Source organism: Homo sapiens, chromosome 14, assembly GCF_000001405.40.
Source record: "Homo sapiens chromosome 14, GRCh38.p14 Primary Assembly".
Classification (NCBI taxonomy): domain Eukaryota; kingdom Metazoa; phylum Chordata; class Mammalia; order Primates; family Hominidae; genus Homo; species Homo sapiens.
Genome location: NC_000014.9, coordinates 57,992,111 through 58,007,644, shown reverse-complemented (window position 1 = coordinate 58,007,644; position 15,534 = coordinate 57,992,111). Strand labels below are relative to the sequence as shown.

At 39.0% G+C, this 15,534-nt stretch overlaps 1 protein-coding gene across 1 annotated transcript in view; it reads left to right on the top strand.

Annotated features, from left to right (window-relative positions):
• ARMH4 (armadillo like helical domain containing 4) overlaps positions 1–6,884 on the top strand; it is a 151,453-nt gene extending 144,569 nt beyond the window's left edge. The window contains exons 7-8 of the mRNA NM_001001872.4: positions 2,463–2,597; positions 2,841–6,884. Of these exons, the coding sequence (NP_001001872.2) occupies positions 2,463–2,597; positions 2,841–2,909 (204 nt within the window). The 3' untranslated portion in view covers positions 2,910–6,884. The remainder of the gene's footprint in view (positions 1–2,462; positions 2,598–2,840) is intronic.
• The last annotated feature ends 8,650 nt before the right edge of the window (positions 6,885–15,534 follow it).

Below are 15,534 nucleotides of genomic sequence, written 5' to 3'. Positions count from 1 at the left end.
GAGCTTATTTTCCCTTAGTCAGTTTTGAAAGAAGAATAGTTAAATTATATCTTAAGATGGTACGTTGCTTTGCTCCCATCTTGTAATTTACTTGTAATTTCAAAGCAAGGCAGATGCCACCAAAAAAGAAAAACAAAACAGAGGAGACAAAAAAGAGAGATGTAACTGAGTTTTTGTGAAATCTACATAATTTAGAGCTCTAGCTAAATGTAACCATTCCACAATGAAAGTATACTTTAAAACATCATGTTGTACATGATGAGTACGTACAGTTTTATATGTCAATTTACAAATATAAATATAAATTTGAAAAAATAAAGCTCCATAAGTAAAAGGCTTAAGTGTGTCAATAAGAAATGCAGAAATGGTGACATATTTGAGAGTACCGATGTTGTTGGTATGGGGTTAAGTTACAGAGTATGAGGAGACATGCACAGAGGCTGATCAAGTTGACCTTCCAAAAGTTCAAATGTTACTGTACATGAGAAGCCTAATCATCTGGGCTTAAAGTTTATCATATTTCAACATGTGTGTGTTTCCATACACTGGGAATGGTCATGAAAAATAATTCACAGTTCTTGTGTGAGCACCAACACTTTGATGTTGTTCAGTATTTTCCCACATGGAAAATTGCAGAGTTTTTATAAGCCTTAAGTAGATTTGGAAGAACTTTAGAAAAAGTTTGGGCTTCTACAAAGCATATTAATTAATTAATTTATTTATTTATTTATTTTTATTATACGTTAAGTTCTAGGGTACAGGTGCACAACGTGCAGGTTTGTTACATATGTATACATGTGCCATGTTGGTGTGCTGCACCCGTTAACTTGTCATTTACATTAGGTGTATCTCCTAATGCTGTCCCTCCCCCCTCCCCTCACCCCACGACAGGGCCCGGTGTGTGATGTTCCCCTTCCTGTGTCCAAGTGTTCTCATTGTTCAGTTCCCACCTATGAGTGAGAAGAAGGCATATTAATTTATTGAAAAATGTCTAGGCTTTGTTTCTTGGGGAAAAATACTTAGTATGCTGAGGAACAGTGCTATTGTTCTCAAATTAATGGAAGAATTTCCATATTTTGCCCTAAGTGAAGACTCTGGGAGGCAGAAACAGTGAGGGAGCTGGCTGAGCACAAGAGGAAAGTGCTGCTGTTTCATAAACTCTGATGTATTCTTTGGATGTCCTGCTAGAAATGTTGGGAAAACATCACAGCCTGCATACTTCAGCACTTTCAGGAAAACTTTTATCCTCTGTCCTGCTCCATTTTTGGCTCACTTTGAAAAATACTAAAACAGTTTGTGCTGTATTAAAAATTTAAAAAATAGTCATATAAATGAATAGACTTATGAACAATTTAAATTGTTTATGTATTTTGCATGGGTAGACTTCTAAGAAGGGCTTCTTGGGAGGCAAACCATTACCTGTGTTCCCCCATGAAAGGGCTATAGGTTAGTACATACCCTGTTAGCCCATAGGAGTCTTATTGGCCAAGGTGTAGGGATCACTCTGAGTACAATGGCCTTTCCCTGAGCTTAGGTAGGTCCTGAGGTACTTACTCAAGTCCAGGGATCATCCTGCTCTCTGAGGATAAAGGTATCCATAGTGACACCTTGGAGACCCTGGAGACATCGATGAATTTGACACTTCCAGGATCTTTTGGAGGTATCGTGTTGTTGGCAGTGATCTTTGTGTACTTCTCTGCCACTTCCTTTCTTTGGGGCTGGGACATTCAGAATTCCCTCCCAACCTCCAACTTTGTCTTGTCTGTTGGGAAGGTGATTCCATTCACAGAAATCAGTCCATCCATTTTGTGTGCACACTCTCCCCTTGTCCTTGTCTTTTCTGCCTTTGCTCCAACATCTAACATTCCTCCTCTTGCCTTTGCAGGCCTTTTTTTTCCTTGTTTTCAGAAGCCCTCCCCTTTTACCCACAAGCATTTTCATCTTTCTTTTCTTACTGTAATGCAGCCAAGACAGACAGAGAGGGAGAAGAGAGGACCACCACTGTCAAGGCCCTCCTTTTAGCCCCCAGCAAACACACTATTCCAGAGGACACTTTGACCTCCTTTAAGCTTGACTCTGGCTGATATTTCCAATTTATAGCATTTTAGTAGTCCTGGCATTCTCAGAGGCTTACTTCATCCATCTTTAATACAAATTATATTTCTGTCATCAGAACCTGAGGTTGACAAATGTGCATAAGCTAGTGGCTGGAGGTGCCACTAGGTCTGGCTGATTTATTTCAATACTTCTATGTATTTGAAATATCCCCAAAATAGGCCTGTCTCTCTCTCTGTTGCCTTCTCCCTAAAAAGTTACTGTATTTTAGGCTTAGTTTTATCTTACAACAAAGCAGACAGGAGAATTCAAAGTGTCTAAAAACCTGCTGCCATCCAGCAGAAATGAGAAACCCAGGGCGGCGCGCTCTGTTTAGCATCCTAATGTGTGTTTCCTTTTCTATGCAGGCTGGTTACATGTCTGGGATGCTGGTGCCTGTAGGGGTTGGGATAGCTGGAGCCTTGTTCATCTTGGGAGCCCTCTACAGCATTAAGGTTATGAATCGCCGAAGGAGAAATGGCTTCAAAAGGCATAAAAGAAAGGTATGGAACCAACAACAGCAAAACCTAATCAGTTTCAGAACATTCTTTGCTTATCTAATTTACTTAATAAAGCACACGGGGTTTAATGATGCTTGGGTGGTATTGACGTGCCCAGTGGTCTGGATTAGCTGCTGTAGCTCCTGCCTTGGCTTCGTTTGTTAGCATGTCTTTTAAAGTGGGCCTGTTTCTCAGCTTTGCTCTGTGGCAGAAAGAGTTTAATGCTTTTCTGTTTTCTTTCTCTAGCAGAGAGAATTCAACAGCATGCAAGATCGAGTAATGCTCTTAGCCGACAGCTCTGAAGATGAATTTTGAATTGGACTGGGTTTTAATTGGGATATTCAACGATGCTACTATTCTAATTTTTATTTTGGAGCAGAAAAAAAAAAAGAACAACCTGCCACATTGCTGCTATCAGGCCGTTAGTCCTAGTGTCTGCTGGGTGCTGGGTAGTAGATTTTTCTTGTACTGAGCAGAAATGGCATGTTGTATACTAAACGTATCATGCAGTATTTGGTTTTATTCTGTAGTGAATTTTCCACAACCGTGGGCTACAACTCATAAATATGCAACATATATGTTTTTCAGTAGGAGTTGCTACATTAGGCAGAGTAAATATTTTGTAGTTTTCCACAGTGTCTTTTCCTTGGTTTGAATTACCTGCATTGAGAATAATGATTGTTGCCACCAAGGCATGCTTGACTCTGAGATATAAATCTTAACAAAGAATAACTTCTCAAGATATACTCTACCTACTTGAAACCACAGGGTTGTGGGCCATGGTACATACTGCATTTGCATCAAACTAGCAGTAACTCAGAATGAAATCATTTTCATTAAGAAGCTCTCTCAGCATATTAGGATTATATGTAGATTTGTATGTATTTTGCATTATGTACTTCAGTCTCCTAGTTTTATTATTCTCACCTTCCGTTTTATTCTTGGCGAGGAAAAAAATGCACTAGAAATAATACATTAAACTGACTCTTAGTCTTAATGTACGTTTGCTGTCTTAAATAGTGTGATTGAGTCCAACAGACTCAATCATACATGTCATACATGTTTATGATTAAGAGATATTCTTTTTGTGTGCTAGTTGATTTTGCCGAGAAAAAATGAAGAAGAATTCAAGAATGAGATGAGGGTAGGTAAGCTCTCAGAGCATTTCTGTCTGCCATTTGGTTCTATGCTTATGTGGCTGCTAATGTGACTAATTCAGAGTGTTGTATTTCCACATCTGTGGACTCCACCATGGAAAAGGTGGGCTACCATTGGTCCTTATATGGCTTTATTAGAAAAATAGACATTCTATCGTTTGTCTGCCCAGTGGCCAGAGTCCTGGTGAACAACAGAGCTCATGGGAAACCAGCCTCTCTCAGGGCACCCCGCTATGAGGATATTGAAATATGTTCAATCATTTCTCATCTCCCTTGGAATGTAATTCCCTGCCCTATACAAAATAGGATATTCCAATGCGCTATTTGAATCTAGGGATTGAGGATTTGTAGTTGAGTTTTGGGGTAAAGGCTTGGCTCATTGCCATGGAAGAATAAAAGTTATTTATTAATAGTGCTGTCACTGTGGAGTACTTGTTGGTGTTTATTAGAAGTTGTCTACTATGTTCAAGAAAAGTTGCACAGTTATTCCTCAGAGCTACTATGTGAGGTAGGACATATGTTTTTATTCTCCCATTTGACTGAAGATGGAACTGAAGCAGAGAAGTGAAATGATTTTCCAAAGTTGTACCCAGAGAGAATCAGCGTGAGAACCCACTTGGACCCAGCCATGCACCCTTATCTTCAGTTCAGTAACCTTTTCATAGACTTTGGTGGAAGCAGTGACATTTCAGGGTCCTTCTTTAAAACAAAGGTTCTAAGGGAATAGCAGGGAATAGCTGCCTGGTCAAGGAACGTTTGATGTGAATTTCCATCTTTGTTAAATGAATGATGCCTTTCTAATTTCTCTCTTACTCACACACAAGTTCTTTCCTTCCCCATCTCAGTTATCAGTTATTTCCTTTACAGTCATACATTTGAGTATCACCTCTATGGAACTAATAAACCTTCCTAGAATCCGTTTTTGAATAATGTCTGGCTCACAAGAACATTTTCATCAAATAATTTTAACTCTTTTTGCCAAGAGATGTAAGCAAATATGTGAAACTGATCAAGAGAAGTGAAAAGCTCTGTACAGTCAAATAGAAGTTAGCAACTGGCAAATTAGCTCAAGGTCAGATTTTAAAAATAGAATTCAGAATCATGACACTCAGAAGTGATTTGTAATTTCACGAGTAGAGACATCCTGATATTGCATAAGGGATGTTTTCCTTTTCTAAGAGCAGCCCTTTGCTGTAAGTGTTTCTAAGGTTGGGAGTAAGTGAGCATGGTGTGGCATTACTGTCTTTGTATTCTTGACAAACTATTTGTTGAGAATACGTCGTAGGCCACTTAACTGAGTAGCACATGGGTGATACTAGTGGCCATTATTGCCTTGGGCTACTCAATCTATAGTCTTAACTAAACCATGGCTAATAGGTTGAATCTTCAAACTGTAGTGTAATAAATTCCCAAATAACAGACCCATATTTTCATTTCTCAGAGGTCCGTGAGGATGACATGTATGTGAATTTTGGCTTAACACAGTATCTCTGTGGTCCTTTTTGGGACACATGATTTCTTAAAGGAAAAGATTATACTTAGAGTACATTTCTGTACAAACCCATTTAAACATCTGGATTGAGTGGAAGGTCGGTGGATGGTACAAATGACATGTTTATTTTGGCCATTTTCCTTGCTGCTGGTGGCTGTGGAATAATGATTTTCAGTGGTTGGCTTAGATTATTAAGAGGATCAGAAAAGGTTGTCATATTTTAAACAAAACCTGGGATTAGAGATGCTGCTACGAGATGGAAGTGCTGGCCAGTGGTTATATAGTGGTCCAGTTGAGAAGTAGTAAATCAGGCACTTGTAGGTTTACCCAAAATAAGTGACAAGTATGCTTATATTTGCACAATTAAAATAGAAAGTCAACTTTTTATTCAAACAACTAGGCTTAAAACATTTAACAGTGAAACAAATAAAGCTGTCTGGAAAGGAGGGCTGATTCCTGCAGCTTCAGTTGTGAACACCATCCCCACTGGACTGAGTTTACCCAGCCAGAACTGCCAGCATCCCACCGCAGGGGCAGGAACTAGGTCTTCTTCTCGGAGGGAGAGGCAGTGTTTCCAGAATTTGCAGGCTCATAAAAATCACCTGGGACACTTGTGAAACATACAGATCTCAAGGCCTTGCCCCAGACCTGATGAGTTAGAATCTCCAGGGAAGGAGCTTGGGGTATTCATGCCCCAGCAAGCTTGGGAACACAGCTAGGAGGGATCTATCTAGAGAACCACTTCCTTATGATAGAGACAAGGTCATTTAAAGTCACAATGAGATACCACCTCACACCTATTGGGATGGCTATTATTCAATAAAACAAAATATAACAATTGTTTCTGAGGATGTGGAGAAATTGGAATCCTTGTATACTGTGGGTGGGAATGTAAAATGGATAGCCACTGTGGAAAACAGTATGAAGATTCCTCAAAAAATTAAGATAGAACTACTATATAATCCAACTATCCCACTTCTGGGCATATATCCAAAAGAATAGAAATCAGGATCTTGAAGAAGTATCTGTACGCCTGTGTTCATTGCTTATGCTTATAAGCATATTATTCACAATAAGCTTATAAGTATTATTCACAATAGCCAAGATATGGAAATTGCATTGATAGATATGCAAATATCTATCAATAGATGAATGGATAAAGAAAATGTGGTATATACATACAGTAGAATATTATTCAGCCATAGGAAATAAGGAAATTCTGTCATTGTGACAATATGGATATACATGGAGAACATTATGCTAAGTGAAATAAACTAGTGACAGAAGGACAAATGCATGATTGCACTTCTTTGAGGTATCCAAAATAATCAAACTCATAAGGGCAGAGGCAAAATGGTGCTTGCCACGGGCTGGGCAAAGTTAAAGGTGGGGAGATGTTGATTAATTATGTTTCAGTTATGCAAGATGAATAAGTTCTAGAGCTCTGCTGTATAACATAGTGCCTATAGTTAACAATATCGTACTGTGCAGTTAAAAATTTGTTAAGAGGGCCGGGTGTGGTGGCTCACGCCTGTAATCCCAGCACTTTGGGAGGCCAAGGTGGGCAGATCATGAGGTCAGGAGATAGAAACCATCCTGGCTAACATGGTGAAACCCCATCTCTACTAAAAATACAAAAAATTAATTGGGCCTGGTAGCGCGCCTGTAGTCCCACCTACTCGGGAGGCTGAGTCAGGAGAATCGCTTGAACCCGGGAGGTGGAGGTTGCCATGAGCCAAGATTGCGCCACTGCACTCCAGCCTGGCGACAAAGTGAGACTCTGTCTCAAAAACAAAAACAAAAACAAAAAACAAAACAAAACAAAAATTTTTGTTAAGAGGGTAGATCTCACATTAAATGTTCTTAACACACACACACACAAACACACACACACACACACACACACACACACAAAAGAGACAAGGAGAGCAGTCCCCTGTAGGAAGAGACACTTTCCCTGGTCATGCTATCCAATAAATCACACCTGCTGTGGAGAAAGGAGAAAGGAAAACAAGGAAAGAGAAAAGGATGGAAGCTACTAGAAAAAGAATAGAAGGCTGGGATGGAGAGAAAAGGGTTTCTCCCATACCCCTGATGTCTTTTTCTCTAATTAGAAAAGACAGTGCTTTTCTTTCCAACCTCTTTAGTTTTTTCTTTCCCATAAGCTGTTTCTTTCAGTAGCTGCTAGCTTAATTTATATGCAATATTTGGAGTTAATTAGTATCCCAGGGTAACAGATTCCCTTAGCGATGCCTTAGCTGTGCCTTCAGCTGATAAACTGCCTCAAATACAATTTTCCAGAAACACTTTCTTAAAGTACCTGTATCTCTTAACATAGGTCAAAACTGTATGAAGAAATTTTAAAGCCAAGTTTTAGAACACATTTAAAGTAATTTTTGAAGAGTCAATTAAAAGTGGTTTTTCATTTTATGATTTTTTTCCCCAAATGCTAAGCGTTAAAAGCCAAAACATTTTATATAGGTATCCGAAAATTACATAGAGTGCATGGAGCATACTGAATACCTCGCTCTTCCTTCTGTGTCTGCCTCCAGGTGTCTTCTTCCTGTAGAAGTCCAAATGAAACACCTTATTTCCAATCACAGCCACAACCTGGGGGAGAAGAATCAAATCCTCCACAGGGATTGTGATTTCTGCAGATATGAATAATCCATGTTCCTACCAGCTGCCAAAAAAACAGCTTTTGGAAACAAGATGTACTATTTGGCGCAAGGTTATAGCTACGTGACATTTTGGCAAGACAGGCTTTTTTATGACCACAGAGGAATTTGAAGAGGCAGGAACACAACTGAAAAAAAATCTCTTCCCTTTATGGTATGTGAAGGTGTGGTTTCAAGCAAAGAAATATGGTAGAAGAAGATGGAGGAAAATCATAATGCAAGGCAAATATAAAAATGGCACAAAACATTAGAAAGTGCTGGAGGATGCCAAAGTTCTGAATGGACCAATGCTTGAAAAAATATAGAGAAAAGCAAGGAGAAGAATACAAATGAGGAAGATCATTAACAGGAGAAGGGACCATAAAGCTACACAAATCCATTTTGCCTCCACCTTCTCCATCAAATAATATTATCTCATAGTAGTTAGAATGAACATAGCTGGGGGTGGGGAACTGAAGTCCAAGATGGATGAGGAGGTAAAAGGTGCTTGGTTACTTTAAATGAGCTTAAGCTCAGTTAGATATCTTCTTTAATTGCACAGTCTTCAAATGACTGAATATAAACTTCTAGGAATAGGAAATAATTTGAAAGCAAAATAATGGTACTGACTTAGTAAAAGTCCCACATGTGCACATTTAGCACTCCTAGACTGATAAGCTGAAGATGAGCTGTGGAGAGATGTTGCCCTGATAATTATAGACTGGCAGTTAACATAGCTGGAAACATAATCCTGTTGCTTAATTTCTGCATGCAGAAAAAAACCCCAGCATTTATTTTGCAAGCCGCTGTAATACAAATGCACTGGGAGTGTCCTATTTGGGGTAATAGGTATATCTAACTCCCTTTTAATTAACCCAAATTTCTACCATGTGCATATAGGATAAAGAGAAGGAAGGAAGGAAGGAAGGAAGGAAGGAAGTAATTAAGGAATTCCCTCAGTAAGTAGCAGCAAAAGCACAAAGAAACAAGTCATTTGCTCCCATGTTCTAGTTTGTGTAAAAGCACAAAAAAATTGATGTAAAAAAACTTACATATTCCACCTAGTAAAGCAAATATCCTACTTTCTCTTTTCAAGAAGCAGCAGGAAAAGATCACTTATGTAAGTGATAACCATCAACAATTTGTAATATAGAGTATAAATTCTTCAGATGGATGTTGCTGAGAGGTGTAACCTTTTGTGGGTTAAGGATGGAGGAACTGAGGAGTAGAAACAGAAGAATTATCTGTGGGGGGAAAATCCTGTTATCTTTTTTCTCAAAGTGTATAGGTATAGGAATGGAGTGCAAGCAAAGTTGCAGGCAAAGTGGGCATCCACTTGGATTATTTTATTACCTTTAAGGTGGGTAGATCATCTGCTCTAGTCTCAAAAGAATAAACCTGGCATCAGTTCAGGAAACTGAGGTTTTTATTAACCAGTGTCATGTCCATCTCAATATTCTCTTCCTAATTAGCAGTCAAATAAAGGAAGGGACCAAAAGCATTTGAATCATTTCTCTAATTTTATGTCTCATGACATGGCCACAGCATTTGTGTAGTTCAGACTTCTTCATGACCAGACAGACTAAAGTAGGAAATTATAAGTAGTCTTCCAAAAAGGAATTTTGATACAAAACCTTCAATGGTCATTTTCCTTTATTTCCCTCTTTATGTAAGAGGTAAAGGAGGAGGAATAGGAAATGGTTTTGTGGTTGAACCAATCGAATCCCAAAGATTTGATTGGTTCTTTGCCGAGGAGGGTGAGGATGGCTAGAGACTCTATCTTCAGCAAACCAAGAACACTTGATATTGCTTCTGACTGAATCAGTATTTATTGAATGCCTTTTATGTGTCAGGTAATATGTTAAGTGTTGGGGGAGCCAAGACACAGTCCATGACTGGAAAGGGCTTATGGATTAGTAGGGAAGACAGAAAATGGGCAATTTCATATCAGAGACACTGGGATCCAGAAAAGGAATATCTAACTGGGTCAAGAAGATCAGGGATGCTTCTCCAGAGCAGGTAACATCAAACCTAAGGCCAGGAGGATGAGTGGGGTTATTCAGATAAAGGGGAGAAGGGGATATGTGATCTAGCCAGAGAAACCCCATGTGCAAAGGCCAGGGGTGAGAGATCAAGTAGTTAGCCTGGCTGGGGTGCTAGGTATTCTAGGGGAGTGAGAGTTGGGGTTGAGGGTAGTATGCTATGTGAAATACGGGGCTGAATGGGAAGGATCCTCTAGGTCCTGTCAAGGAATGAGGACTTTATTTGAGGGCAATTAGAAGTCATGCAAAAATATTATGCTGTGAAGTGTTATGATCAGGCCTGAGTTAATAGGAAGACTGGTTTGGGAAGGTTAAAGTCTGGAGTCAGAGACACCAGTGAAGGTCAAGGTTGATGCAGCAATGTAAGTGAGAGATAATCATGGCCTGGACCAAGGTTGCAGAAATGAACATGGAAGGGGAGAATGGGTTCTGGCGGTGTTCAGCAGGGGTAGACAGTGGGACTTGCAGATTGTTTAGATGGAGAGATGAGGGAAAAGACAACATTTAAAGCTGACTAGGGTCATGGGACTTTTGAGGCTTCTAGATACGATGGTCTAGTGTTCTGCCTTCTGGAGGGGCTGACCCTGTATTATCCCAGCATATCTAGGCCTGAGAAAAATAACCTACAAGCCTGCCAGAAATGTATAGGCAGCATTAATTTTTACAAAGTGTAAATGTGTGGTCATTTTCTGTGACTTCTTTTGTTTACTTTTTTTGAGACAGGGTCTTACTCTGTCACTCAGGCTATAGTGCAATGGTGCAATCATGGCTTACTGCAGCCTCAAACTCTTGGGCTTAAGTGATCCTTCCCCCTTAACTTCCTGAGTAGCTAGGACTACAGATGTGTGTCAGCACTCTCAGCTATTTTTTTTTTTTTTATTTTTTGTAGAGACAGGGTCTCACTATGTTGCCCAGGCTGGTCTCGAACGCCTGGGCTCAAGCTATGCTGCCTCAGCCTCCTGAGCTGTTGGAATTACAGGCATGAGCCACTGCACCTCGCCATTTTCTGTTACTTTTAATAGTAGGTACCAGTGAACTAACTTTGCATTTAATGAAACTTAAATATCTGGGAAAATTCTCCTAATACCTTTAGGGGATTACTTTGGTTGATCCCTAGATATGAGTTACTATCTCAGATCTGTTTGACTGTCTTGATTTGTAAAGGCTAATAGGAGAGTTTCTTATTCTTTGACAAGGGAACAAAGCTCAATATCTTGTTTTTCTTGAAAACAAATCCAAGAAACTTTTTTCTCAGGGCTGGTATGTATGAGGACAACATCTGGTCTTAGATGTGCAGCCTGCAGAATCAAGCAATGCAGCTCTGTGTCCTGGTGCTGAGCAGTTTCTGTGGCCTTTTGACAGTTCTTACGGGCAATCGTCAAGCCACTTACCTTCCTTAGCATATAAAAAATAAAGCAAGTTTCCCATAGTTGCCATATCAGCACAAGGCCAGATTCTGGAGGGCCTCAGGGACAATGATATGCAGAATTGAGAAAATTCAGAAAAACTTAAGAATAATTATCATTCCAGTCCCACCCGAAATGTTAACAATAATAAACATTGGTAACATTTTGGTCTGTACTTTTCTAATCTTTTTTTTCCTATGCATTTATGATATGCAATAAATACTTTTATTTTTATACAAAATCAGGATTATAATTTACATAGTATTTTGTTACCTCTCTGTAGCTATGTTTTCCCATGGTTGTTTTAAGAGGAATAGAAGAAAGGAAAACAGCTTGTGAAAATCCTAAGTTGTATTTGAACGAGCAAGCTGTGTTTCCTCATTAAAACATTTATTTCGCATTTGATGGTCCATAACTGCCCATTTACCTCAGGATGCCTCCATAGGATGAAAATAAGAACAGAGTTGAAAGAAGTCTCCATAAACACAACGCACATTGGCAAATGTCATATTCTTGTTCCTTAAGGGATTAGAGAACACTTTCTTCTCTTTGTCTTTGCCCCCAAAGTAAAAGCTATAAGCTTTTATAATTAAATAATAAGACTGAATAACCATAAGCGCAATTAATATGTAGTATTATGAGAAATACTGGGGAAAAGGACACTTACTGTGTGACTTAAATTGATTAAAGGGTTATTCAGTTCAACTCTCTTGAATCTAATTAGTATTTTTGTGTCATTTATTATTATAGGGCACACATTTTTTACATTTGATTTAACTTGACTAAAATTAAATGAGCAAATGTTTATTGCTATGTCCATTGTTTTCCTTTCTCTGTCATTGTTAAAAAGAGGAGCCATGGCTTCTGCTTCTTCTGTGTATTCTCCATTAGACCTTCTTCATCCACCCTCTTCCCCATCCCTTTCAGCTCTGAAGGGTCTATAAATGAAAGTGGGTACCAACTGATTCAATAGGACTTATATCTTACTAAATAACGTTTTATTGTCTTTGTTCTATGTATTTGCAGAGAAATTGTAAGTATCTTTAAAACCAATTAACAAAGCCCTGTGGGTCTTTCAATCAAGACCTTTGTAAACATCTCTACTAGCCCATACTCCCCCAAACTTCTTGCACATGGTAGAAGATGACATTAAATAAAGCACATTATAAGGTGCAATGAGCTTTATTCTAAAAATATTGTCTGGATGTGAAAGTAAGTTCTTGTTCATAAAATGTTATTAGTAAAATGTTATTAGATTAAAATTATGGAGTAAGCATTTGGCAAACTGATTGACTCTTCACTGGAAAGACCAGGCTTTTTAGCACACATTTCTGTTCATGCTTAAGGTCAGAAGTCAATCAAAGGCAACCAGAAAAAAAAAAGGCAAATAAATGAATTAGGGACATAATTATTTTCTGTTATAAATAATCAGGATCTTTTCAAGTTTAATTATGGGGAGTTGTTGAATAGGCTAGTTTTATGCCATGCAAATAAAATGTGAATTTCAAAAATCTTAGTGAAACTCAAATTTATTTTTACTTAGCGATAATAAAATCACAAATACTTCTTGAGCTCTTGCTGTAGGCCAAGTGCTGTGCTCAGTACTTAACATGGATAAACTCGATTGAGTATCACAATTCAAAGAGGTAGGCACTCCAGGTTACCCTTGACTCTGCTGATGGCAGAAACCTCACTTGTAATAAATAATTATCTTTGACAAGAGAAACATAAAACAAGACCTGTAATAAATGATTTGTTCACAGATTTTTCATGTCATAGAAACTATATAGCATTGATTTTTAGCTATGATTTTGATTCAGTTTTTAAAGTATTTAATTTTTATTATATCAGCCCACACTGAACATTGGTTTTTCAGCAGATAATGCATCTTCCAAGTGCTCCAAGGCGAAGAGCCGCAGAGAAGAATACTGCATCTTGAGTCATACCCTGAAATTACTGAATGAATTACCTGTGGCCATGTAAACACTCTGCTTCAGTAGGTAGAGTGCAACAGACAATCCAATCATTCAGAACTAAGTTTTTAGTTAGCTTCTGTTATTCACTGAAGTAGTTTGCAATTACAGTTGTCTCTAGGTATCCATGGGGGATTGGTTCCAGAACTCCCTGCTGATAACAAAATTCATGGATGCTCAAGCGCCTTACATAACTTGGTGTAGTATTTGCGAATAACCTATGCACATCCTCAAGTATACTTTATATCATCTCTAAACATATAATACTTAATATGTAAATGCTATGTAATTAGTTGTTATTACTGTATTTAGTGAATAATGACAAGAAAAAAAAGTGTGTACCTGTTTAGTACAGACACTACTCTGTACTGATTTTTTTTTCTGAGTATTTTCCATCCAGGGTTGGTTGAATCCACAGATGTGTAACTCACAAATATGAAGGGCTGACGGTACCTAGTAGTTAATTCAGATTTATCGCAGTGATCTAAAGTAATTTTGCAGTTTACAAGCATTTTTTTTTGGTTCTAAAAGAAAAAAACAAAACGAATATTGGTGATGTGATATTTATGTAATGTGATGATATTATAATGGCCACGTTTTAAAACTTGAGAATGTCCTAAGTTCACACACTGTTGGTTTCTAGATCCACAAGGCTTCTGTATACAGTTCACGGTCCTCGGCATTGCTTCTTGTAATTTTTCCATCCCAAAGGAGAGCTACTGTACTGACTGTACTTGTGGAATGCAGCGCTTCATTAAATTAAGTTTATTAAAATGCAATGTGTGGCACAAGACCTGTTCCTTGTTTAAAGATTTAGTAGAAGGTGGTTTCTTTGGATGCACTCTTCATTTATTTCAATGAACGCAAAATGCATTGTATCAAGAGACGTTTCTGCAAAGGGCAGTAAAAAATAAGAAAAACAACCATGAAGAAGAAAACAACTATGAATAAACCAATTCTATGGGGGATTGTTTTTGTGCTTCTCAAAGTGTGTGTGTGTGTGTGTGTGTGTGTGTGTGTGTTGGAAGGTGGGTAGAAGGTGGGGGGGATGGGTGTCTGTGTATGAGAGAGAGAGAAAGAGAGAGAGCGAGTGCACTAAGTGAATATATCCTTATGGTCTAAACTGGGATACAATTGAGAGTGAAAGGGGCACAGCTGGGTGCGCTGGCTCACATGGATCACTTGAGTCCAGGAGTTTGAGTCCAGCCTGGGCAATGTAGGGAGACCCTGTGTCTACCAAAAATTAAAAATTAGCCAGATGTGGTGATGTGCCTCTGTGGACCCAGATACTTGGGAGGTTAAGATGGGATGATCACTTGAGCCTGGGAGGTCAAGGCTGCAGTGAGCCATGATCATGCCACTGCACTCCAGCCTGGGTGATGGAATGAGACCTTATCTCAAAAACAAAAAAGTGGGGACACTGTTAATTACAATGGGATAACAGGCATAAACTGGAATGATCCTGGGAAAATAGGAACCTAAGGGACATCTTAGAGGGAGTGTATCAGACACCTCTTAGAGGAAGTGTAACAGACACTTCAAATCCTATCTTTTATTCCAGTCACCTAAGTAGCATTTAGTTTGGCACAGGCTTCCACCAGTTTGCCAGGGTGTGGGTTATTGTGGGGTTTCACTTGTCACTCACACATGTACAACCTGGAAATGTTAGGGGGGCTAACCTGGTGGGCCTTAACGAATGAGGATGGAAACTGATGGATAAATCCTCCCACCATTTGTTGCTCATGTGGCCGGTTCTCAGATACGTTTCATGAGGCTTCTCAGAATAGTCCTTAGGATTGAGCACTGGTTGTCCATTGCAATGCTACCTTGAAAATTCATCCTTGTATTGGCCTTCTCTCTTTCCTTGTTTCACTGCTACTTGCATGCAAGACTTTGTCTGAGGTCCTGCTTTCAGGGGAACTCAGGCTACAATAATTGGGATTTTGGAGTGAGATCACTCACTGTTCAGAGGTAATAAGGACTCCATTTTTGGAGGTGGGTGGAGTGGTGGTATCTGGCCAGCGCCATCTCAGTTACTAAGACTCTTACTGAGGTGGATTGGGATGAGGTGCAGGCAGAGGCAGAGCATTGGGTGGTGTGATAGCCGTGGTCCTTAAATAGTACAGGAGCAATGGTAATAACAAGGATTGAGCTGGCTGGTGTGTTTAGACTGCTTTGGAGGCTTTGAAAAAAGCAAATGAAGAAAATGACAG